General features: G+C 53.5%; 1 protein-coding gene across 5 annotated transcripts in view, besides 4 other annotated features; it reads left to right on the top strand.

Moving 5' to 3' along the window:
• Positions 557-1,505: an enhancer, noted in NCBI's record as "H3K4me1 hESC enhancer chr20:44941853-44942801 (GRCh37/hg19 assembly coordinates)". NCBI's record gives its function as "activates a minimal SCP1, AML or CMV promoter by ChIP-STARR-seq in naive H9 embryonic stem cells {active_cell/tissue: H9 hESC(naive)}" and the evidence as "EXISTENCE:reporter gene assay evidence [ECO:0000049][PMID:30033119]".
• CDH22 (cadherin 22) overlaps positions 6,222-23,081 on the top strand; it is a 134,760-nt gene continuing 117,900 nt past the window's right edge. For all 5 annotated transcript variants that reach the window (XM_024451966.2, XM_047440373.1, NM_021248.3 and 2 more), the window contains exon 1: positions 6,222-6,465. The gene's annotated coding sequence lies outside the window, so the exon portion shown is untranslated. The remainder of the gene's footprint in view (positions 6,466-23,081) is intronic.
• Positions 11,113-11,331: a silencer, noted in NCBI's record as "fragment chr20:44932028-44932246 (GRCh37/hg19 assembly coordinates)". NCBI's record gives its function as "represses an EF-1alpha promoter that drives an FKBP-Casp9 reporter gene in an ReSE screen in K562 erythroleukemia cells {active_cell/tissue: K562}" and the evidence as "EXISTENCE:reporter gene assay evidence [ECO:0000049][PMID:32094911]".
• Positions 13,780-14,280: an enhancer, noted in NCBI's record as "H3K4me1 hESC enhancer chr20:44929079-44929579 (GRCh37/hg19 assembly coordinates)". NCBI's record gives its function as "activates a minimal SCP1, AML or CMV promoter by ChIP-STARR-seq in naive H9 embryonic stem cells {active_cell/tissue: H9 hESC(naive)}" and the evidence as "EXISTENCE:reporter gene assay evidence [ECO:0000049][PMID:30033119]".
• Positions 14,281-14,781: an enhancer, noted in NCBI's record as "H3K4me1 hESC enhancer chr20:44928578-44929078 (GRCh37/hg19 assembly coordinates)". NCBI's record gives its function as "activates a minimal SCP1, AML or CMV promoter by ChIP-STARR-seq in naive and primed H9 embryonic stem cells {active_cell/tissue: H9 hESC(naive and primed)}" and the evidence as "EXISTENCE:reporter gene assay evidence [ECO:0000049][PMID:30033119]".

The following is a 23,081-nucleotide window of genomic DNA, read 5'->3' as shown; positions in this document are numbered from 1 at the left end:
GCTGGATTAATACTTAAGCTGGATTTCAAAAGATAAATAGGAGTTTTCCAGCAAAACAGAGGAAGAGAGGGAGCTCCAGGTGGCAGGGACAACATTAAAAAAGCTCAGAGTGGATAAAAGCTAAAAGAGTTTGGCACTACCAGAATATAAGGTGCAAGAAGGAAACAGCTGGAGAGGAAGCTGGAGAGGCAATGCCCTGTTCCTCATGCTGAAGCCATAATGGTGGGCTTTCAGGTAGCTGCAGAGAAGCTATTCTTAGATGGGTCCTCCTCTCTTGCCAGAACAACATGAATGAAATGGTACGGCAAAGTCCACTTCCTCATGGGTGAGAACCTTCAGGTGAAGGAAGGTCCGGGTTCCCTGGCATGTTGGCCCCAGCCCTCCTGGTGCTCAGCAGGTCACTCGGCCCGGGGTGGGTCCCTCGTCCTCATCCCCTTGCAGATCCCCTTTCCCTTCCCACTGGCGGCTCTTCTCTAGGCCAGGAATAGAACCTCACATCTGACAATCCTCAGCGGTGTTTAAATTTAATGGGCCTTTCTGCTTTTTTCCTCCTCAGCACCTGGGCTGGGCGCTCTGCAGCAGCCCTGGGGAGAGGCAGGTGAATAATTCAGGGAGAGTCGGTGTTTGAAGTGTGTGTGGGGAGTGTGGTAGGGCTGTCTCACCCCACCACCCCAGGGAAGGGGGCTCAAGAGGGAAGGTCCAAGTGCTCAGTTTCTGCTGTACTCTGCTGTGTCTTTAGGGACTTTCAGGGAAGCTCAGGGGACTCTTATTCCCATCTCCACGCAGCCACCTGCAGTGTCAGGCCTCAGGGCTGCAGAAGCTGTCTAGGGCTGACAGGTAGGGAGAGGGAAAGGAGGGAGGCGCGTCTTTCCCACTGGCTTTGGATCTGGGTCCAAAGAGAGAGAGAGAGAAGAGACAGAGTGTGTGTAGGAGACAGAAGGTTGGGACCTAGCCCCAGACAGAGGTTACAGGAGCGGGGTTAGGGAGCTGGGATGTGGGCTGAGATGTCATGCCCAGAAGCAGGGCGGGCCCACCAGGCTGCGGGAGAGCTTCCGGTGTAAAGCTGGATCCTGGCCTGGGCCATAGCCACTGTCCATAGTGCTGCCGTTGTGCTTAGGCCCTGGATGGAGTGCCAAGTTCCCAAGGCTTGGAACTTGGCAGGTGCTGGGCTCCTGTTTTTCCCACCTGGCCCCACCCCAGCCCACCACAGACAAAGTAGCCTTTCCATTTTCTAACCTTGGCACCTTTCCAGCATTTGCATTCATTCATTCATGCATACCTTTAACAAGTATTTATTGAGCATCTACTATATGCTGCATTCGGAGGATAGTGCAGTGAACAAAACAGACTCAATTCTTAAGCTCCTAGAACTTGTGTTCCATCCCTGCACCCACTTCCTTGAGGAAAAAGAGGGGAAAGGAGAGGAAGGAGCTGGCCTTAAATTCCTGTTCGTCCCCTGACTTGGTCTGAGTCGTCCAGCAAGTCACTTTCTCCCCTTAAACCTTGGTTTCCCCAGCGGTAGCATGGGGACGATAACCCTGTTTTGTGAGTTGTTGCTGCTATTCTTCTTATTAATTACAGCAAACACTTATTCTAAGTGCCTTACAAGGATTTGCTCATCCAATCTTCACCATCTCTATTTTACTATAAGGAAATTGAGATGTGGAGAGGTGAAGTCACTTGCCCAGGGTGACACAGCTGGCAAGTGGCGGTGATGGGATTTGAACCCAGGCAGTCTGGCTGCGGGGTCTGCGAGGATTAACGCCATGAGGTGGAGGTGCTTAAGGGCGCAGCGGCCTCGGCGCCTGTGGCTCCCGCAGGCTCGCCCCTCCCCGTCCTGGCGCCCCCAGCCAAGGGCGGCCTCCCCGTCCCCTCGAAGTTCCCTTCCCATGGAGTCCCCTCCCCAAGTAGTCCCCTCCCCCTCCCTGCGGTCCCGTCGGCCCCGGCGGAGAAAGCGGGCTCGCAGAGGTGCAGAGCGCCCGGAGTCCCAGGTGGGGCGCCCTCGTTCGGGTCCCGGGTCCCTCTGGGGAGGGGCTAGGGTGTGCCCCGGCTGCTCCCTACGCCCCCCGGCGGGCTGGCGGCCCCGTCCCCGCGCTGACATTTCTTTGGTTGTTCATGTCACGGCCCTTCAGTCTGCGCAGTTTTACAAATGTGCTGGCGAGATGAAAGGCGCCGGGAACAGCGACTGGAGAACAAGTTCGGAAAAGCTTTTAACTTCCAGCTCCCACAGACAAAGCGGGAGGAGGGGGAGGAAGGGAGGGAAGGGAGGGGAAGCACAGAGTGGGGAGAGTAGAGGAAGGGAGCGGGAGGAGGGGAGTGGGAAGGAAGGAGGGAAGGAGGAAGAGGAGAAGGAAGTGTGGGGAGAAGAGAGAAAGGGAAACGGGGCACTGAGAGTGCGGGATGAGGACAGAGAGAACCAGAATAGGACAGGCAAGAGGGAGACAGAGGGAGACTGGGTGCCCCGAAGAAACAGAGATGGGAAGAGACAGAGAAACAGAGAGAGGGAGACAGACATGGAGGCAGAGAGAACAGGACAGAGGGAGGGGGAAACGGAAAGAGAACGACAGACGCAGGGACACAGCTAGGAGATAAGCAGATGGGGGGAGGGGAGAAGGGTGCTAGAGAAGATGTAGGGGCAGGTAGCAAGAGACTGACACCCATTCAGAAACAGTCAGAGAGACCAGAGACACTGAGGGGGAGGAGACAGAGACAGGAGTGGAGGCAGTCAGAGAAGCGAGGACAGATGGACAGTGCATGAGAAGGCGACAGACAGATAAAGGGATGACAGAGAAGTGTAGAGAAGAAGAGGAAAAGAGCCAGGGAGAATAGCAGAGCCTGGAGCTAAGAGCAGCCTCCCCATCCCCAACACACACGCGTGTATGCACTCACACACACACACACACACACACACACACACACCCTTCACTGACCCCTGCTCAAACCTGCAGGCTCCCTGGAGCAGACCCTGCTGTTAGGGCGTTCAGACTAGAGCAGTGGCTCTCAACTGGGGGTGACTTTGCCCTTCAGGAGACATTTGGCAATGTCAGGACACATTTTTAGTTGTCACAACTGGGGAGGGGGTGTGCTGCTGGCATCTAGTGGGTAGAAGCTGGGGATGCTACTAAGCATCCTACATGGGACATGCCCAATGACGAAGAATTATCTGGCCCAAATGTCAATAGGGCCAAAGTGGAGTGACCCTGGGCTAGAGAGAGAGAAATGCCCATGGACCCAGATGACTACTCCAGGGGAAAACATGTCCCCTGTGCCAAGACAGGGCTGTGTGCCCTTCTGATGGAGTGGGAAGGAGAATTCTCACAAGCGCCTCCTCTTGGAATCCTTCCCTAGCCATGCCTCTCTCCCCAAGTCCTTCCTCATCCTACCCAATCCCTGGAGGAGTGGTGTCTCTCTTATTTGTAGACTCACCACACGATATAAAAAAGCACACGTTCAAACTCTAACTACAAAGCACTTGGCATTTTATTTGCCCAGAGGCAATATTGCACAACAGTTCAGTGTGCAGGCTTTGGCCCCAGCCTGCCTTGGTTTGAATCCCAGCTCTGCCATAAACTAATTGTGTGACCTTGGGCACGTTTCATAGTTGCACTGTGCCTCAGTTTCCCCATTATGAATTTATAAATTTGTTGAAAGTAAAAGGAAATTATCTGTGTAAAACATTTAGGAGAAGGCTTGACACATGGCACAGGTTCACTAAATGTTAACTGTTGTTACTATCATCTCATTTTCTCTTCACATCAATGCTGGGGGAAGTGGCTTGCCCACGTGTCACACAGTCTGCATGGGGCAGAACTGCTCTCAGAGCCCAGGCCTGCCCAGTTCTTCCTCTGTCACACTACACTGCCTCTTGCTGCCCCTGCCACACTGCAGCAGGAGTCCCAGCTTACCTTCTCCCAGACCAGAGTGAGAGGTCTGACCCAGGCCCAATGCGTCAACCTGATCTCTCTACTTGCCGTCTGAATGATCTTGCTATTTCAACACCGTGTCTCAGTTTCCTCATTTGTAAAATGGGCTAATACTAGTATCTGATTATTGTGAGGACTTAAAAGCAGAACTATGGCACACAGCAAGTGCTCAATAAACATTCAATGTGTTCTCAGAGCCTAGCCATAGTGCTCACAACAGAGTGGACACTCAGAGAAAGTTTGTTGAAGGAAGGAAGAATTGGAAATAACGGTAGAATGAGCCTGAAAATAGGAAACATTGGGATAGGAAAACCTGAGGGTCTAATAAAGAGTCATGGGGAGCTGGGTGCAGCAGCACATGCCTGGTGTCCCAGTTACTTGAGAGGCTGAGGCAGAATGATCACCTGAGTCCAGGAATCCAGCCTGGACAACATAGTGAGACCCCCATCTCAAAAAAAAATAAAAATAAAAGAGAGAGAAGAGAGAGACCAGAGCAAAAGAGAAAGATGTGACAACAGTTCATTCAATAACATTTATTGAGCACCTACTGTGTGCATGCAGATGTGACAGCAACAGTGTCCCAGACCAAAACAACCTGTGGACAACTAAGTAGGTCTGACTCCAGAGATGAACAGCACACACCAGAGCCTGGAGGAAGAGGCAAAGAAGGAATGGGAACTGGAGCAAACAGCAAAAGTGAGTCAGAGCGGGAGGAGAGAACCAAAAGTGAAGAGATGCACCTGGAAGGCTGGCCTCTGGTCTCTGAAAGCATGAAAGAGTGGAGGCTAAGAATAGAGAGGAGAGGGGAAGAGAGAGATGGAGAAAAGGAAGGCGATAGAAAGGCAAGGCTGGAAGAGATCAATGAAGGGAAATAAACCAAGAGAAGGACGTAGGGGAGGGAACAGACTGGCACAGTGGAGAATACATCTCAAAATAAATAAATGAATGATGGAGTTTAGTAGGAGGGGCCAGAGGGGCAGCCAGCAGGAGAGGTGATTCCAATCATCAGCAAGACGGACTAGGGTGTGGAGATGGAGATGGAAATTGGGGAAGGAGGCGAGGAGGAGAGAAGGATAGGGGCGAGGTAGAGCTGGGGGTCCTGGAGGGCCCTGCCCCCTCTTTGCCATGAACTTCAGCAGCTGCTTGTGGGTGATTAAATGGCTGGTCATTGGCAGCTTGGCGGGACAGAGGTCTGCAGCTGTCCAGTCTCCTGTTATCCTTCACTCACCTATCTGGAAGCCATGGGGAATAGGGGGGCGGGCAACTCCTAAGGGGACCTACAACCCAAGACAAAGGGTGGGTCTATGGGAGTCACTGGTCCTATCCTACCATCAACGACCTCATATTGGGAACTCAGGAGTGGGGTGGGAGGGTCTCCTCCATTAGGCCTCATCCCAGAGAGATGAAGTAGTAAGGAGAGCCAGGCAGCCAGGAGAAAGAAACAGGGCCAGGTGGAAAAAACATCAGGGAGCAGACCAGCCGGATTTTTAAAAGAACGGAAAACCCAACCAGCAAGGAGTTTCTGGGCAGTGGGAAGATTTTATTGGGAGACTTCTCCAGGTCAAGGTGGCACCAAGTTAAGGATGGAGGTGTCTTGTTTTGCCTGCTTACTTTGTTGGTTGCAAGGATGTCCAGCGGGACTCTCCAGAGGAAAAGCCCACAAGTTTCTCTCCCGGGGACACCCGACCTCCCACCTGCCTGGAGACTCAGCCCTGGGCACCTGGTCGGTGTCCACCTCAATGCACAGTGACTGTTTCTGAACTGGCAGATCTGGTCTGTGCAAGGTGCCTTTCTGGGCAGCAAGCCGGGGCGGCCACTGTTCGAGAAGCCTGCTCCTACCCTGGCCTGCGCCCCTGCTCCTCTGAAGGCGGCCTCCCGCAGTAGTCAGGGGGCGGAAATGGGAAGCCCTATTCGCAGTAAAATCAGGTGGGGAAATAGGCTCTGGTCTCAAACTGCGGCCACCTGGGGAGCTGCCAGGCGAGGAGGTAGATGGTCCCCCTCCTGGGGGCGCTCCCTTCGCGCGGATCTGGGGTTGGAGGAGGGAGGGGCACTGTCCCCTGGGGGGTTTCCTGGGACTGGGCCGCCCGAGAGAGGGAAAGGCTGTCCCCTCCTGGTGTAGGAGGGGCGCGATCCGGGGGGCGGGGGCTGGGGTTCCCCGGCTGCGGGGGTCCGGGCCGGCGGCCGCCTGCGGCTTGGCGCTGCGCGGCTCCTGCCCGGCGGGCCCTGCATTCTCCGAGTCTCCACCAGAGGCTGCGGGAGGAAGGAAGGGATCCGTCCCTTGCACACTTCCCCCCAGTCAGACACGCACACTCCCTCGCTCCCGCTCGCTCGCTCACTCCCTCGCTCTCTCGCTCTCTCGCTCTCTCGCTCACACACACGCGCGCACACGCCGCCGCGGCTCCCCCTCTCGCTCCCGCTCTCCCTCCGGCTCCTGCGGGCGGCCGCGGGGCTCCGGACTCGCCCGCTGCCCGCGCCGGGGCTCCCGCCCCACGCAGCGTCCCGAGGCGGCAGGACTAGGGGGAGCCCCGGGCCGCTCCCCGAGGTAAGAGCGCGGGGTGCCGCGGGAGGAGCGGCCGGATCGCCGCCGAGGGGAGGCTGCCCGGCAGGGAGGGAGCCCCCTGGCCGGCGGGAGCGGCCGGGCAGGCGGCGCGGGGGGCGAGCCTCCAGCCGCAGGAGGAGCCGGGGTGCCTGCGCCCGGCCCTGCGCGCCCCCTCCTCTCGGCCGGGAGGGCGGGGAGGGAGTTTCCCACGTCCAAACTTTCCCCGGCGCGGAGCCGAGCCGCCTCTCGGCCCGAAGCCCGCAGCTCCCACCCGTCCCCACAACCTCGTCCGCCGCGCGCCCGGGAGCCTCCGGGACCCCCGCGGGCCGAGGGGTGGCAGCGCCAGGGGCCGAGCCGGCGCGCCAAAAGGGGCTGGGAAGGTGGCGCACAGCCCTGACGCGAGGGCTGGGACCCAGGCGTTCCCGGTCCCCCAACCCTGCTAGCGGGGCTCGGCTCCCCGGCCCCTCCCAGAGGCGGGGTCCGGGGCCGGGAAAATACCGCACGGCGCGAGCGTGTGCGCGCGGTGTGTGTGTGCGAGGTCGTGCCGCGTCCGGGGACACCCGGAGGCTGACTCCAGCCGCGGCGACACGCACGGTTCTGGTCCCCTCTGAGCCGGGGAGGCGGCCCACAGGGACCCCTGCCGGCCCCACCGGCGCGACCCCCCCTGCCCTATGGCCGTCGGGCGGGCTGGCGGTGAGCGAGAGCCAGCGCTGCTCTCTTCCTTAGGACCCGACTCCGGAGACACCGTCCCCGCTGGGGAAGAAGGACGGGGCCCCCGACAGCCTAACGTCCAAAGAGAGCGCCACTTAGGGCTAACCCTCGGGGGCCGCGGCGTTTACTGTGAAGAGTGGACTGCGTGGGCGCGCGGGGTGCCGGGCAGCCCTGGGTGGGCACAGTGTGGACCCGTCTCGCTCGCGCCTCCCCGCTGCCTCTTCTCTGGCAACGTCGGGCCCTGTCCCAGGCGGGGCTGCAGAGGGTAGGGCTGATCCAGGATCCCCCGAGGTCTCCCCGAGGTGCAGGGCACCCCCTTGTGGCGGGCAGAGAAGCTGCTGTTTGAAGCTGCTCAGGTCTTCCGAGGTGCTCGCTCCTTGGAACCTCTTCTCTCCAAACCCTTCGGGCGTCGCCAGGGTTGCGCATGCCAGCTTCTTTTTCCGTGGGGCTGATTCCAGCACTCCCCAGGTTTCTGGGGCTGGCCGAGGTGCCCCCAGCACAGGCAGCGGCTCATTTGAGGGCTTTGGCTGTTGCCAGCTCTCTCTCCCTCTCCACCCAGGTTCAGGATCTCATCCTCTTCTCCCACTGGTCAGCGCCAATACCCTATATCAGCATCACCACTGCCCTAGGGCCCAAAGGCTCCTCCCTAACCACCGCGACTCTCTGTCCTTCATTTGTATCCCGTATATGTGTCCATCAGTGCCCACTCCGTCCCCCTCAGTTGCCCCTAGTCTACAGCCCTTGTTGAAACTTGGCCTCTACACCCATAGTGACATCCTTTGGTCTTTGCCCACCAATGACCATTTCCTCGTCCCCCCCAACCCCGACCCATCTTCTATCCTGTCTGCCTCAGTTTTTCTGTAGCACTCAACTGTTCCCTGCCCCAGCCATTTCTCTACTTCACCCTTATTTCCCTCCTTGTCCCAGTGTCTGGGACACTCCTCTTCCATTCCTCCTGGAAGGGAAGGGCATTGCCAACATTTAAACACTGCTTCCTGGAGATGTCTGTGTGCCCTTCCCGGTCCACCACTGCCAGTGCCTCGGGGGCAGGTACTTTATAAAGCCAGCCAGGTCTCTCTCAGCTAAGGGGCACCTGTACCTCTTGGGTGGCCCCATCAGGGGACCCCTGGAGACAACCCCTTTCCCTATTCCTAACTGTGAGCAGCACATTGGAGACCACCTGGGCTGCCCTCTTTTCCATTTTCAAGGATTGGCAACAGCAGCCCGAGGTCACATGGTAAGCTATACCCAGAGCCGGAATAGGAACCCAGGCATCTTGACATCCAGGCCTCACCAACGCTGCTTATGTGTTGGGTAGGCCTGGGGCAAAACAGAGCCGTTTCTTGGCTTCACGCTGCAGGCAGGACAAGAAGACACTTGCTCTAAATTCAGCATGAGGTGTTCAAGTTAGACCCCCAGTGCTCCCAGGCCAGTGCCGGAGGAAAGCTGTTGAATGCCTTTAGCAGAGACGCCGAGTAGCAGAAGCAGAGGACAAAGTTTGGCCCCTAAAAGTGTGTTGTGACCTCCGGGTGAGTCACAGCCTTTCTGTCAAAAGGGTGGCTGTGATCTCTGGATGTTTCTGGTCGTGCTCTGGAATAATCATACCTAGAGGTTGGAACCCCCAAAGCCCCTGCTGCTTCCCCAGGCACTGGTCTTTCTGAGAGCTTTGCAGGAGCGCTGCATTCTGAAGTTGTCTGACAGGGGGCCGGGCCATAGCTAAGGCAGGGAGCCCAGGAGGGCCCGTCTCCTCCCGAGTTGGCAAAGTTCGGAGCAGCCAGTTTATTTACCACATGGGCGATAAGAGTCAGCCAATTAAACTTCCTCTCCTCTCTCTCTCTGTTCTTCCCCCTCCCCTTTTTCTTCCATCAGGAAGCTCCAATCTGAAATGCAGCCTCAGGTAGAGTGAGAGAGAGTGAATGATTTCTGTTTATATAACACGGGTAGCAGCTGGCACTGCATGGCCTGGGAGGGAGTGAGGGAATAGAAGACCCTACGGTGGTGTCTGGGCTGAGGCCCCGGGGCCAAGGACTTCCTCATTCCTCCCCATAGCTGAGCCAGGAAGGGTGCTAGGGGCTGGGGACCAGGTGGGGAAACAGGCTGAGAGGAAACCCAGGCCTCAGGTCAGGCTCAGAGAGAAAAGCCTCATGCCCCCCGCAAGAGTGGGCACACCCTCCACCCCGGGTTCCTCAAAGCACCTTTAAGATGGAGCTCTCAACTCAGGCCTCTCCTTCCTACAACCTTGTGTTTTGATTCTGGCCTCTCTAGAGAAAGCCTAGATATTTCACCACGAGGACAGGCTCTGACCTCAACTTTTCATCAGGGCAGTGGGCATGATAGGACTGTCTTTCCGCCCATGGAGGAGACAAGGCCTAACAAGAAAGTTGTCTGTGGAGTGATTTGAGCTCTGTGTATCTGGCAGGAGGGACGTTTTCTCATTGTTGATGATACACAGTGGCTGCTTGGAAACAGAGGTGCAGGACAGGAAGGCTGGAGGCATGGCTGTTATATGCAGTTGGGCAGGTTGTTGACTGTCCAAGGGCATTTAATGCAGGAGGAGAGCGGGGACTGAAATCTATTTTAAGCTCCACTCTCCAAGTCAGGTGCCCCAAAGACAGGCTGTGCCTGCCTGGAGGAGGGGGCATCTTTCTCTAATTTGCAAAAAGGCTTCATATACTTACCAGCCATGGGCCTATGGGGCTGCTTACCCCCAGAAAAGGATCCCTTTCTTTAATTACTCCAAAGGTGGCCCATCTGGGGGTTAAGGATATATTCACTACTCACTCCTTAGCTCAGCTCTCTTACAATGGGCACACACCTTTCCGAATATGTGGGTCTGATTTCAAACACATGAGGTACAGCAACCTGGAGGAATTCCCTTCTTCCCCCACATTTCCCTCCATGCCCCATCAGCAGGCTCCTTCCTGCTGTCACATTGGGATTAGGCTGGGAACTTCTTGCTTTGTCGTCAGACCCACAAGCCTTCAGCCATCCACTTGTTACCAGCTCTTTCCTGTGCATAATATAAATAGATGATTAAGCGCGTAGGCATTGGAGTCCAACCAGCCTGAGTTTGTGACTTGCTGGCAAGTTACTTTACCTCTCTGAGCCTTAGTTTCTTCCTCTGTGAAATGGAGGAAAATGTAATACCTGTCTCATTGGGTTGTGAAGATCAAATGTGCATGAGCATGTATGGTGCTGAGCACAATGCCTGGCACATAGGACACCCCATACATAAAGCAGTATTGTTATTGCTCATATCCCTCCATTTATATTCCTTGGTTCCCATGGGGTAAATGCAGCAGTTCCTCCTTGTTTGGTTTTGCACATGATCTCAGCTGCCTGCACCCCTGCAGGAGGGGAATTGAGTTAGGACCACCAGGATCTGTCTCTGACTTCAGGATCCGTCTCTGACTTCAGGATCCTTCTTCCTTTGCCTTGAGGAAGGTGGAGTCCCTGCATGCAGCCGGCAGTGTGGGAACATGTTCTAGAGTCCCACAGATTCATTTCATCCTAATCTCTACCTTTTCTCCCCTCTCATCCATCTCGCGATCCCTTCTCCAGCTCAGACCTCACTGGTTCATGCCTAACCTGTTGTGGCAGCCTCCTCCCTGGTCTCCCAGCCTCTGATACCCTCCCGCTGCAACCCCTGCGGCAACCAGAGCGATCGTTCTCTAACGCAGGTGGGATCGTGTCACTGGCTTGATTAAAACCCTTCCATGGCTCCCCATTGCCTACTGAATTAAGTCCAGACTCGGCACTATGACATTCAAGGTCCTTGTAATCCGTCTGCATCCTCCTTTATCTCCCACTGTGCCTCCAATCTGACACTCCTGCATCCAGCCCCACCTGCCCTTCCACCTGAACAACCTTCCCCGAAGATATTCCAAAGCATTAAGGACCCAACCCAAATAGCACCTCTTCCTTGCATCACCCATCTGCCTGTCTGACCATACATTCATTATCCAGTTTAAAATGTATATATATATATTTACATATAAAGCATTTACATATATTTACATATAAAGCATTACTATGTGTTAAGCATTGTGCTGCATGGTGGAGACACAATGGTGAGCAAGCAGCCTGAATCCCAGCTGACAGGAGTCTGGTGGTCCAGGGAGGAAGATGAACAATTCTCATAACTGTGACAGCCAGTGGGCGGGGCAGCAGAGGCTTCTAGGAGGAAGTGCTGTTGAGGCACACCTGCAGGCTGTCTCGCAGTTATCTATGGGATAAAGGAGGGTAGGGAGGAATAAGAGCAGAGAAGGCAGCCTCCATGCCAAGGGGTACCAAGGCCCCAAGGGGAGGGAGAATAGCAGAGGAACTGAGATTTCAGTTGGCTGAAGGAGAACACACAGAGGTTGGGGTTCAGGGAGTGGGAGTCATGGGAAACCAGGCCAGCGAGGTGGGCAGCAGCCAGGTCCCGTGGGTCTTGAAAGCCACACAAGGAGCTTGGCCTTCATCCCGAGAGCAGCGGGGAGCCACGCACAGGTTTTCAGCAGGGGAGTGGCGCGTGGAGATTCGCCATTAGAAGCCTCATCCTGCTGCTGGGTGGGGAAGACCAGGTCCCGGGCTGCTGGTGTCTGGGTCTGAGGCATGGAGGGGGACTCACTTGTGAGGGTTGTGGGAGTGGAATGGACAGGGCTAAGTAACTGCCTGGGCATGGGGGAGAGAAGGAGTTCCCATTCCTGGCTCGGGAGGCTGTGTGGGTTGTGAAGATGCGAAATGAAGAGGAGAAGGGCTTTCAAGAAGAGGTGAGGACCAGCTGTGGACAGGTCGAGGGTGAGATCCTAATGGGATACATGAGTGGGGATGCTGGATGGATAGTCATGCAAAAACATCTAGGCCCACTCAGAGAGTTCTGGGCTGGAAATAGAGTTTTGAGGCCATGAGGAAGGAGGAGCTCACCATCCAGGATGAGTCTGTAAAATGGAAAGAATCTTGAGGCGCTCTCAAGGTTCGGGGACGGGGTTCATCCCCAGAAGCCTTCTTGGACCCAGCCAGGCACACGTGACTCCTGTCTATATTTTGAACCTCTGTAGCAATTAGTTTAGTTTTCTTTTCTCACTGCCTGCCTTGTGTCATCTGCAGCACATTAGATCAGTGTTTTTCAACTGGGGGCAATTTTGCCCCCCAGAGGACTCTTGGCAATGTCTCGAGACATTTTTGGCTGTCACTACTGCGTAGAAGGCTGCTGCTGTCATCTGATGGGTAGAGGCCAGGGATGCTGCCAAACCGCCTACAACGCACAAGACAGTCCCCCCCACCCCACTGCAAAGACTCATGTAGCTCAAACTGTTGATAGTGTGGAGGCTGAGAAACCAAGCCCTGTATGAGAAGATCTTGAAGGCAGGCACTGGGCTTTTTCATTTTTTCCTCCCTAGGGTCTAGCGTGGCATATGGTGCAAAGCTGCACTCACTCCATTCACTGAATTAAATTTGGGTGTGAGGAGAGGGGGCCTGAGGCCATGCAGCCTTGAAGTCTGCAAGACTAAGGCCCAACTCTGACCAGGGTTGCCTGGCCCCTCCCCAGAGAGCTGGACCATGCTAATACACAGGCACTTAGAGAGGAGAGAAGGATGCACCCGCTGGTGGGGACCTCCTGTCCAGGAGCCCAGAAGTTGAGGGCACATTGCCATGTATAGTTCACCAGCCTCATTCTTTCGTTGTCTTATTAACTTCTGTTGTTTCTTTATCACTCAAGTCGATATAATATATATACTATATATATATTTGAGACGGAGTTTCACTCTTGTTGCCCAAGCTGGAGTGCAAGGGCGCAATCTCGGTTCACTGCAACTTCTGCCTCCCGGGTTCAAGCAATTCTCCTCCCTCAGCCTCCCGAGTAGCTGGGATTACAGGTGCCCACCACAACACCCGGCCAATTTTTGTATTTTTAGTAGAGACAGAGTTTCACCGTGTTGGCCAGGCTGGTCTCGAGCTCCTGACCTCTGGTGGTCCACCCTCCTTGGCCTCCCAAAGTGCTGGGATTACAGGCATGAGCCACCGCACCCAGCCATATATATACATATATATATATATTTTTTTAATAGGCAAGTTACAGATAAACAAAATGAGAAAATGAGAAACATGACAACCTACTGATTAGGTGCATGGGCTCTGGAGCCAGACAGAGCAGAGTTGAAGTTCCAGCTCTGCCACTTAATAGCTGAGTGAGCCTCTGTTTCCTCATCTAGAAAATGGTTGTAACAAAACCTACCTCCAAGGACTGGAGAAATGAAGTAATACAGACAAAGCGCTTAACACTGCACGGGGCTCATATGAAGTATTTAATACAGAGTGATTCTCTCTCTGTGTGTGTGTGTATGTGTGTGTGTGTAAATTTATATATATGTATATATGTATGTACCTTTTTATATATGAAAGCATTTTTAATTAGCCATAATTTTACCACCACTTGGCTACCATTTCAGTGCATATCCTTCTTGACATATATAGATTTTTAAAAAATAAAAATGGCATCTTGCTTTATACATATGCCTCCGTAACCTGCTTTTTTTCACCCTATAATATATTGTGAATGTCTTGCCATTTCGATAAATATACATCTACATCATCATTTTTCAAGAGCTGCATGGTTCTCCATTGTGTGGCTGCCCATAATTCATTTAACCAGCCCCCACTGTTGGACATTTGGGTTGTTTCCAGTCCTTCGCTATTACAAACAATTCTGCCATGAACATCCTTGTACACACATCTTCACGCTCTTGTCCGATGATTTCTTCAGGGACCACTGGGACGTTTTTGGCAGGAGTCGTGTGGCGCTCACCAGATTCCTCAAGTAGAAGCCCCTTGGGGCCAGCGAAGAGGGGACTGGGGGGTCCCTGGGGAAGGGAAGGATGCTGGATGGCAGAGAACTGTTTTGGCCTCTGGAAAGTTGGTCCAGATGTTAACACCACAGACCCCTCTGCGAGTCAAAAAAGCAGAAAGCCCCGCCCCATATTCTTTGTTGTCACCGTAGTGCTTGCAGAGTAGGGGAGGGGAGCTGGGGAGGTGGAGTGTGTGTGTATGTGTGTGTGCACGCGCACGCACACGCGCGCTTGTGTGTGTGATGGGCAGAGTGACAGGCACCAGGCAGGCGGGGGACATAAGGTGGATGGGCCCGGGCAGGCTGATGGATGGGAAGCAGAAGCAGGTGGATCCAGGTCAGTGGGTAGACAAGATGATGGGTAGGTGACAAGCCAGACAGACTCAGGTAACCAGACATAGGACTGTGGCCTCACAGCGGGGCCCACAGGGACCAGAGGCTGAAATTGTGTATTCAGGGACAACAGAGAGTTCCTGGGAGAGGCAGCCCACCCCCCAGGCCAGGAGGTTGCCAAGGCCTGCGTCTTCTAGGATCCAAGTGGCTGTGTTTAGGGTTATGCATTTTGGAGTTGAAAGGGCCTTTAGGGACTGACGAGTCCAAGTCCTTGATACAGAAGGGAAACTGAGGCCCAGGGAGAGGCTGGAACTTGCCCAGGGCCCTATGGTGTCTCAGAGCAGACTGAATCCTTTGCCCCTAGCTCAGTCTATTTCAGTGTCCATTTATTCAAATGGCTTGAAGAGAAGGGAGTTAAGTTGGCAGAGTGGGAGGGGGCTGGGAGGTCAGAATGAGCCTTGTCATGACTTTTCTCTGTCCACCCCACTCCAACAGCGCTATTTATGACCCTACTGTGTGCTGTTGAGAGAACTGCCTAGGAGCCAGACTACCAGGGTTCCCATCTTTGCCCTGCCACTTACTAGCTGAGTGAACTTCTGCCTCAGTTTCCTCATCTGTACCTATCTCATAGGATTATTGAGAAGGCGAAATGAATTATTAGAAGTAAAGCACTTAGAACAGTGCACTTAGGCCCATATTCAGTGCTCTATGAGCCCTAGCTACTAATACTGTGCTATTTTGCCCTTATTATTATTATTATTATTTTAATTTTTTTTTGAGACGGAGTCTCGCACAGGCGTGAGCCACTGTGCCCTTATTGTTTTCCCTTGAATTCTGTATATGTTTGTACGCACCTGCGTGCTCACACAAACGTGACTACATGAGCAGGCTGTGTACCTTGGAAGGCAAAGGTTGTGTCTCTCCTGTGTCCTAGCCCTCCCACCATCAGGACCCTATTAGCCAGCTGGGCACATAGTAGGTGCTCCATAAATGCTCTTGAGGAAGTGATGCGCTTGACTCTGTCTGGTCGAAGGCACTGGGGGAGGCTTCGTGGGGGAGGCAGTATTTGAGCTGTGTGTTGAAGCTAGGATGACGCTGCTGCAGGTGGAGGTGTTTTCTGCAGGTGGAAAGAGCATGAGCAAAGAGGAGGAGCTTGGCAAAGGCTTCGGTGTCAGCTGGTTGCCCCGTTGACCAGGGCACAGAGGACATGGAGGGGAGGAAAGACAGAGAGGACCAGAAAGGGAAGGTGCAGCTGAATTCAGATGCGTGGAGCTCCAGGCTGAGGAATGTAAGCAGTAGGAAGCTATTGAAGGTTGCTGGCTGGAATTAAGCTGTAGAAAGATCTTGCTGTTGACAGTGTTTTAGGATGGACTTGAAGGAAAGAGAAAGGAGGCAACAGACGGGGACAGCTGAAATTGTCCAGGAGATAAGTGGGGTGGGGGCTTAATGAAGTTGTAGAGAACAGGGGCCAGGGAGAAAGGCCCCAAGGAAATAGGATCAACAGGACTCAGAGCTGCTTGGTTGTGGGAGATAAGGGAGAGGGTGGAATGAAATATGACAAAGTCTCAGGCCTGGTGTCTGGGAGAACTGGGGTCCATTAACCAAATTAGGGGAGCCTATGCTTGGGAGAGGCAGGGGAAAATTGAGATGCCAGCTGAGATTATTCATCCAGCCAGCATCCCATCTAAGCCAGCCATCCATCCACTCATCCATCCACCCACCCATCCATCCATCCATCCATCCACCCATTCATCAATCCATCCATTTATCCAATCCATCATCCTCCAGCCCACCCACCTCCATTTAAACATCCATCTGCCTGCAGTTCACCCCTCACCCACCTCCACCCATCTATCCACCAACCCGTTATTTACCTACACGTGTATCACCACCTTTCTTTCCGTCTTCTTACTACCTGTCTCTCCACCCTCATTCACCCTCAGAATCTACCAACTTCTCCATCCATCCAAGATACATTTCTTGTGAGCCTACTATGTGCCAGGCTCTGATAAAACCTTAACACAGCATTTGAAGATACCTGATACTAAAGATAATGATTAGAAAAGCCAAGGAAAAGAACCAGAATGATTTTACCTAGAAGAGAGAAGTTTGAGAGGAGACTTTATGTATCCAAAGTGAAGAAGAATGGAATGAACAGTGGCCTGTAGATGAGCCTTTTTTTTTCTATTTCCAGGACAGAACAGAAGAAATTGGCTGCACTTGCAGCTAGACAGATTGAGGTTGGCTGTGAGGGAGGACAACCTTATTGATCATTACAGGTGTCTGAAGTACCGATCTGATAATGCATTTGGGCTGTAGGGGGATATCATCTATAGAGGTGACTTTGAGGAAATGGGTGCAGAGTGGGACATTTGTGGAGGAGTTAGTAGAGGGGGCGTCGGGATCTTGCCTTGAGAAGAGGTGGGTAGGGGGAGTGGTGGAGCAGAGGACGAAGGTGAGGGGACCATCAGGGGCACAGGGCTGTGTAAGCCAAGGAGACAAGCCTGTGGCTAGGATGGGTCAGCTGAGGTAGGGCACCTGGGTAGTGGGTCAGGGAGGAGATGGCTGCATTTAATCCCCAAAACAACCTTGGAGGAAGGGCCTTCCCACTGTCTCACTGCCACTGTCCCTTCATAAGCCACCATTTCTCTCCAAGCCCTCATCCTCTTGGAAAGCCCCGAGCCCCTCCCAGAACCCCTGTCCCCAGCATGTTAGCCCCCATCCCCTCACTGAGCCCGCACTCTCTTTTCTGAGCCTTTGTGCTCACAAACCCCAGCCCTGCAGCTGAGCCCCTGGCCAGATCCCCACCTCCCACAGAGCGCCCGTCTCTTCTTGGAGTCCCCATCTCCTTGTGGAGGCCTGGTCCTCTCTCAAGATAGAGCCCCCAATTCCCCAGAATCTCCACAGAGCTCCTGCACCCCCTGTGAAAGCTCTAACCCTCCACGGAGCCCCCCACCCTTCCTGGAGACCCATCCCATCCCTGAGCCCCCGTTCCATCCCTGAGCACCTCCTGTTACTTAGCTCCTGGTCACCTTCTGGAATGCCTGCCCCTTCCAGAGCCCCTGTTCTCCCACAGAATTTCTGTCCCCTGAACTGAAGACTCATCTCCTCTCTGAGCCTGCATTCCCTCAAGGAGCCCGCATCCCTACTCACAGAGCCCTGACCTCCTCACTCAGCCCCTGCCCCTCCTGGAGCCCTTGAGCAGCCCCTGGCTTCGAGCCCTCATGCCACCCTCTGTCCCAGGGTACCAGCCCTTGATGTCCGCGGGGCACAATCAGCCAGCAGTGGGTGGCCCCAGCTTAAAGTCACTCCCAGGTCTCTGCATCAACTCAGCCAGCTTCAGGCTGGGAAAGAAGCCCCTGGATTTGGGACCATAAGACCCTCCCCGCAGCCTGCCTAGTACCATGGGTGGGCTTTTAGGACAGAGGGACTTGTAAGTCCCCAAGTGGGCTGGGCTGGGGGTGGAGACCTGCAGCTTTGGCAGCTCCATCAGGCTCGTCTTACGGGCTGGGAGAAGCTGGAGACTCTTGCTGCTTCTGGTTAGAAAAACAATCACAAATTAGAGAAAATGCTTTGGGAAATTGCTCTGCTGTGCGAGAGGGAGGCTGCCTCAGGAGGGAGGGAAAGAGGCTCCTAAGACAGCAGTGGCTCCCTGTGGCCTTGCCTGTCAGCGCCAAACCATCTGCTTGGCGTTCAAAGCCCCAACTCATCATCTGACATGGTCACCTGATGAGCTCAGACACATACCCGCTAGGCCATTGCTCCAGGGCCCATTCCCACCTGCAAACCTTTGCTCACCTGGGCTGAGCCCTCACATCTATTCAATCTCAGTGCCCTGTTTCAGCCCTTTGCGAACCATTGTTACCTGTCTTGCCTCTCTAACTGGTCCATTGAGGACAGGAATAATGTCTTTTGCTAATGGCAGTCAGAGACAGGCAGATCTGGGCACCAATCCCTGTTGGATACATTTTAGCTGGATGGCCTTGGGCAAGTGTTTGACTTTCTGAGCCTCTGTTTACTCATCTGTAAAATGAGGAGTGTAAGACCTCCCTTGCTGGAATGAACGAGATAATGAGCAAATAGTGTCCTCACAGTGGGTACCAAATTAATGAAGATGCCCCTCCCTGCCTTACAGCCAGATCAGGACTTCGGGCTGTGAGAACCAGCACTGATCTACAGACGTCCACTTATTGGTAACATCCTCAGGTGCCTCTTCTCTTATATCTGTCTGCCACTCCCCTACTGCGAAGATACAAAAAGAGGGCCCAGGAGTTTCAGGACAAGCACCTGGGAGGCTCCTGATATAAAAAGATGAGGCAACAGGCCCGGCATGGTGGTTCCCACCTGTGATCCCAGCACTTTGAGAGGCCGAGGCAGGAGGATCACTTGAGGCCAGGAGTTTCAGACAAGCCTGGGCAACATAGCAAGACCCCCATCTCTACAAAAATTAAAAAATTAGCCAAGAGTGGCAGCACACGACTGTAATCCCAGTTACTTCAGAGGCTGAGATAGGAGGATCGCTTGAGCCCTGGAGTTTGAAGCTGTGGTGAGCTATGATCATGCCACTGCACTCCAGCCTGGGTGACAGAGCGAGACCCTGCCTCTACAAATAAATAGATGAGGCAACAAAAGTTGAATTTTTGAGTCTTTTGACTATCAGGCAAGACTTAAGCTGGATCATCACCTATCAGGAGGAATGAGGATGGCAGCCCAGAGCTTGGATTCTGGAAGCTGGACTTGGATTTTGGAAGCTGGACTTCCTGGGTTCTGCTCCCTGAGCTGCCCCCCTTCCTAGCTGCCTGTCCTTACACAAGTTACTTAACCACCTCAGTTTCCCCATCTGTAAAGTGGAGATGATAATCACAGTAGCTGCGTTACAGGCTTGTGGTGAGAATGAAACAAGCTAATGTTTGTAAAGTACTTAGAACAGTGCCTAGCATTCATAAGCCCTATGTAAGGGTTTCTTTAAAAGTAAATGTGATGAGGGATTCGGGAACACAGGAGTGGACAGCGGAGAGCTCAGGCTGGGTAGCAAATGGGCTTTCAGGAGGGAGTTCTGCAGAGCTAGAGTCCAGCCAGCTTCCTGTCAAGTTGGCCTCTTTCTGAATAGGGAGAGCACAGGATATTCTCAAAGCAAAAACATTTTTTCTGGAGACCACTGGGGTGCCTCATTTGGAGAAGTCTGGGCCAAAGGACGTTGCATGGAGAGGCGGCCTCTGCAGAGGGCAGCAGGGAAAGACATCCAGGGCTCTCAGAGACACCCCAGAACCTCACAGATCTCACCTGCCAGTGAGAGGCTCCTCGCATGCCTGTTCTCTTCCTGGCAGTGAAAGACAAGGCCAATTGTGTGTGCCCTTCGTGGAAGAGGTCTCGGAGAATTCTCTCCCTCCAGACAGTGAGCAGAGAATGAAGGGTGTGAAGAAGAAACCCCTCCTCAGCCACAGGCAGCTCTGGAACAAGCCCTGTTACTGTCTGCCGGGTGCCAGGCCTGTGCTGGGCACCGGGAAGGTGCAGTGGGTCAGATATGTTCTTGCCCTTGAAGAATTTGGGATGAACAGCCAATGCCAGGAATCCCACTTCTCCTAGTGCCTCAGTTTTTTCAGTTGTCCTCTTCCCTTCTACAGAGTAGCCTTTTCCTTGCCCCTTTCTTTCCCTCTTTCTCCCAAGCCCCCACCTACCCACCCCAGCAGAGGTTGGGGGGAGCCCTGTGGAGAAGGGAGAGTTTGTACAAACTGGGGCACAGTTGGAACTTCTGATTGGCTGGTCAGGGCCATTCTTTTCCCTGGTTGCCATAGCAGCCATTTCCCGGGGTTGTCAGTGATGAAACTCATAAACATTGTTTTCAAATAATCCGTGTAATTGAAATAACAATTGAGCTGTTAACTTGTCTCTCACACCCCAGCTAGGACAGATCTTCCTCTTTCCGCACCCTCCTACCACCCCTGGGAAGCTCTGGTGTGTCCCCATCTCCTGTCTGAGGCCCCAGCCCCTTCCTTGGGGCAGGAGGAAGAAAGAGGAGGTTGCATGGCTCCTCAGCATCATTATAGAATCCTAGAAACTCAGGACCCCACAGCTGAACCAGAACTTAGAGAACAGAACCCACTTCGTTTGCAACCAGAGACTCAAGGAAGGGAAGGGGCTTAACTAGGGCTCCACAGGAAGGACGCAGCTGAATGAGGACATCCAGTCCTGCTTTTAGGTGAAGGTTGAAGCTGATGTGTTGCACTGAGGATCAATGCATAAACCATAAAGCTGCCCCCTTTTAAGGATTTGGTCTTGCAGGCATATCTACCTACCCCTACCCCCATTTTACAAGTGAAGAAACTGAGACTCCAATAAGTTAAACATAATATAAGTGTTTTTTTGTTTTGAGATGGAGCCTCGCTCTGTCGCCCAGGCTGGAGTGCAGTGGTGCAGTCTCGGCTCACTGCAACCTCCGCCTCCCAGGTTCAAGCAATTCTCCTGCCTCAGCCTCCTGAGTAGCTGGGATTACAGGCATGAGCCACCATGGCTGGCTAATTTTTTGTATTTTAGTAGAGATGGGGTTTCACCATGTTGGCCAGGCTGGTCTCAAACTCCTGACCTCGTGATACGCCCGCCTTGGCCTTCGAAAGTGCTGGGATTACAGGCATGAGCCACCGCACCTGGCCTCTGTGTTTTTATAGCTTCTCAGAAAATACCTGTTGAATGGATGGATCTCAAAGAACACAGACCACCTCTCTCCTCCCCACCCCCAAAACCAGGAACTGAGATCTGGTTTCTTTAGTCAGAGGACTTCGTGGAATAGGGTTGTGGACAATTTGGGGACATGTGGCTCAGAGGAAGAGTGGATTCCTCAAACGACTATTAGAGGGAGGGAATTCCAAAGTTCTCCCCCTACCCCCAGCCACCCCTATCTTGGGTCGGAGACTGCACATTCAGAAACATAAACATGAAAAACATAGGTTCCCTGCCTGATCCTCAGAAAGGCCTGGGATGGATTGAAAAATGGAAGAAGCAAGGCCTCTTCTACAAGCACATGTCTCCATGCACACACGGAGATGCAGGTCAGCACAGACAGCTCCCTGTAGCGGCAGCTTCATGGAGGATAAAAGCATTTTTTATAAAGTGTCTGGTTGCTGTCCAAGGTACTCTCTGAGTCCACAGAATGTGTGGGTGGCTGAGGCAACAGGCCATTGCTAGGACTGGGGATGGGGGCAGTCTTCAGACCAGATGACAGCAAGAGGTTGGCCTCCTTCCCTGGATTCTAGAGGGTTGTAACCACTAAGGGGTCTTGGCAGTCTCCTCCCCCAATTCATTCATTCTTACTTACTCAACATATACTGAGCATCTACTCTGTGCCAGGCACTGTGTGGACCACAAAAACATTAGGATTAGGAAGACCCAGGATCTGTCTGCAAGGACTCTTTCAGTCTAGTGGGGAAGACACACATACACACACACACACACACACACACACACACACACAACCAGTGGCTGGTGCTCTTCTAGAAGCACCAGAACAGAACAAAAGAGGGAGTGATTAACTCTGCCTGCAGGAATCAGAAAGACCCCCTGGAGCAAATGACTTGGGCTCAGTCTTAAAAAGATGAATAGTTCTCCAGGTGGATAATGGGCAGGAGAGCATTTCAGAGGGGCAGCATGAACCAACGCAGGGAAGAATTCACGGTTTAGATCACAATGAGAAGTTCTGTGTGACTGGAGTGTTGGCTGCTTGAAGGTGAATGGCAGATTGAGGAGAGTGGGTTCTGGAGAGGGGCAGTGACTTGCCCAAGATGCCACTTTGAGTTGCAGGCACAGCCAGGACTAAGACACCGGATACCCTAATTTGTCAGAAAATCAGAACATCAGAGTTAGTTGGGCGTTTGCGATTCTCTAATCCAAACTGCCCATTTTTCAGATGGGGAAACAGAGGGTGAGAGATGTTCAGTGCTGTGCCTGGAGTCCCACAGTATGGGTGTGGCAGAGCTAGGATTTGAAATCTGGTCTGTTTGACATCAAAGCCACAGCTGTTTTCCTAGTGCCACAGCTAGGAGCAGAGCGAACCCCACCTCAGCTCAGCTGGAGAGCAGAGGGCTCTGAAAAGGACGGGCTGCTCATGGGACCTTTGCATTTATTGGGACAGGCAGCCAGCTCCTGCCATATCGTTGGCACTCAACACTCACCCTGGGGGAGGGAGCCTCCAGTGGGAAAGCTCAGCAGGCATGCCTTCCTGTTGGCTGGAGAGACCTAAGTCCTACCACCAACTCTCTGAGTGACCTTGGGTAAGGTGTGACCCTCTCTGGTCCTTTCTTCCATGATCCACTATGTCATAGGAGGATCCTCCTTTGCCTACTGTCTGGAGCAGTCATTCTCCATTGGGGTGGGAGAGCAGTTGATTTTGGCCTCCAGGGAACATTTGGCATTGTCTAGAGGACAATTTTGGTTGTCACAACTGGGAATAAAGAGTGCTACTGGTATTCAATGGGTAGAGGCCAAGAATACGGCCAGCCATCCTACCCTGCACAGGACAGCCCCCACCAACAAAGGGTTATCCAGCCAAAATGTCACTGCTGCTGAGGCTGAGAAACCCTGAAGTCTGAGGCCATTTGTGAAGATCAGATATGGCCACAAGAGTGGGCACATGGGGCTGTGCAGAGGTGCACCCCAGGCTGCAACGCAGAGGAGCAGAAGTGGCCTTGCTGTCAGGCAGACCTGGCTGTGTTGAGAGGTCGTTCACCTCTCTGTGCCTTGGTTACTTCATCAG

This window comes from Homo sapiens, chromosome 20 (genome assembly GCF_000001405.40).
Source record: "Homo sapiens chromosome 20, GRCh38.p14 Primary Assembly".
Lineage (NCBI taxonomy): Eukaryota > Metazoa > Chordata > Mammalia > Primates > Hominidae > Homo > Homo sapiens.
The sequence above is the reverse complement of the archived record's forward strand: the minus strand, read 5'-3'. Positions and strand labels throughout refer to the sequence as shown.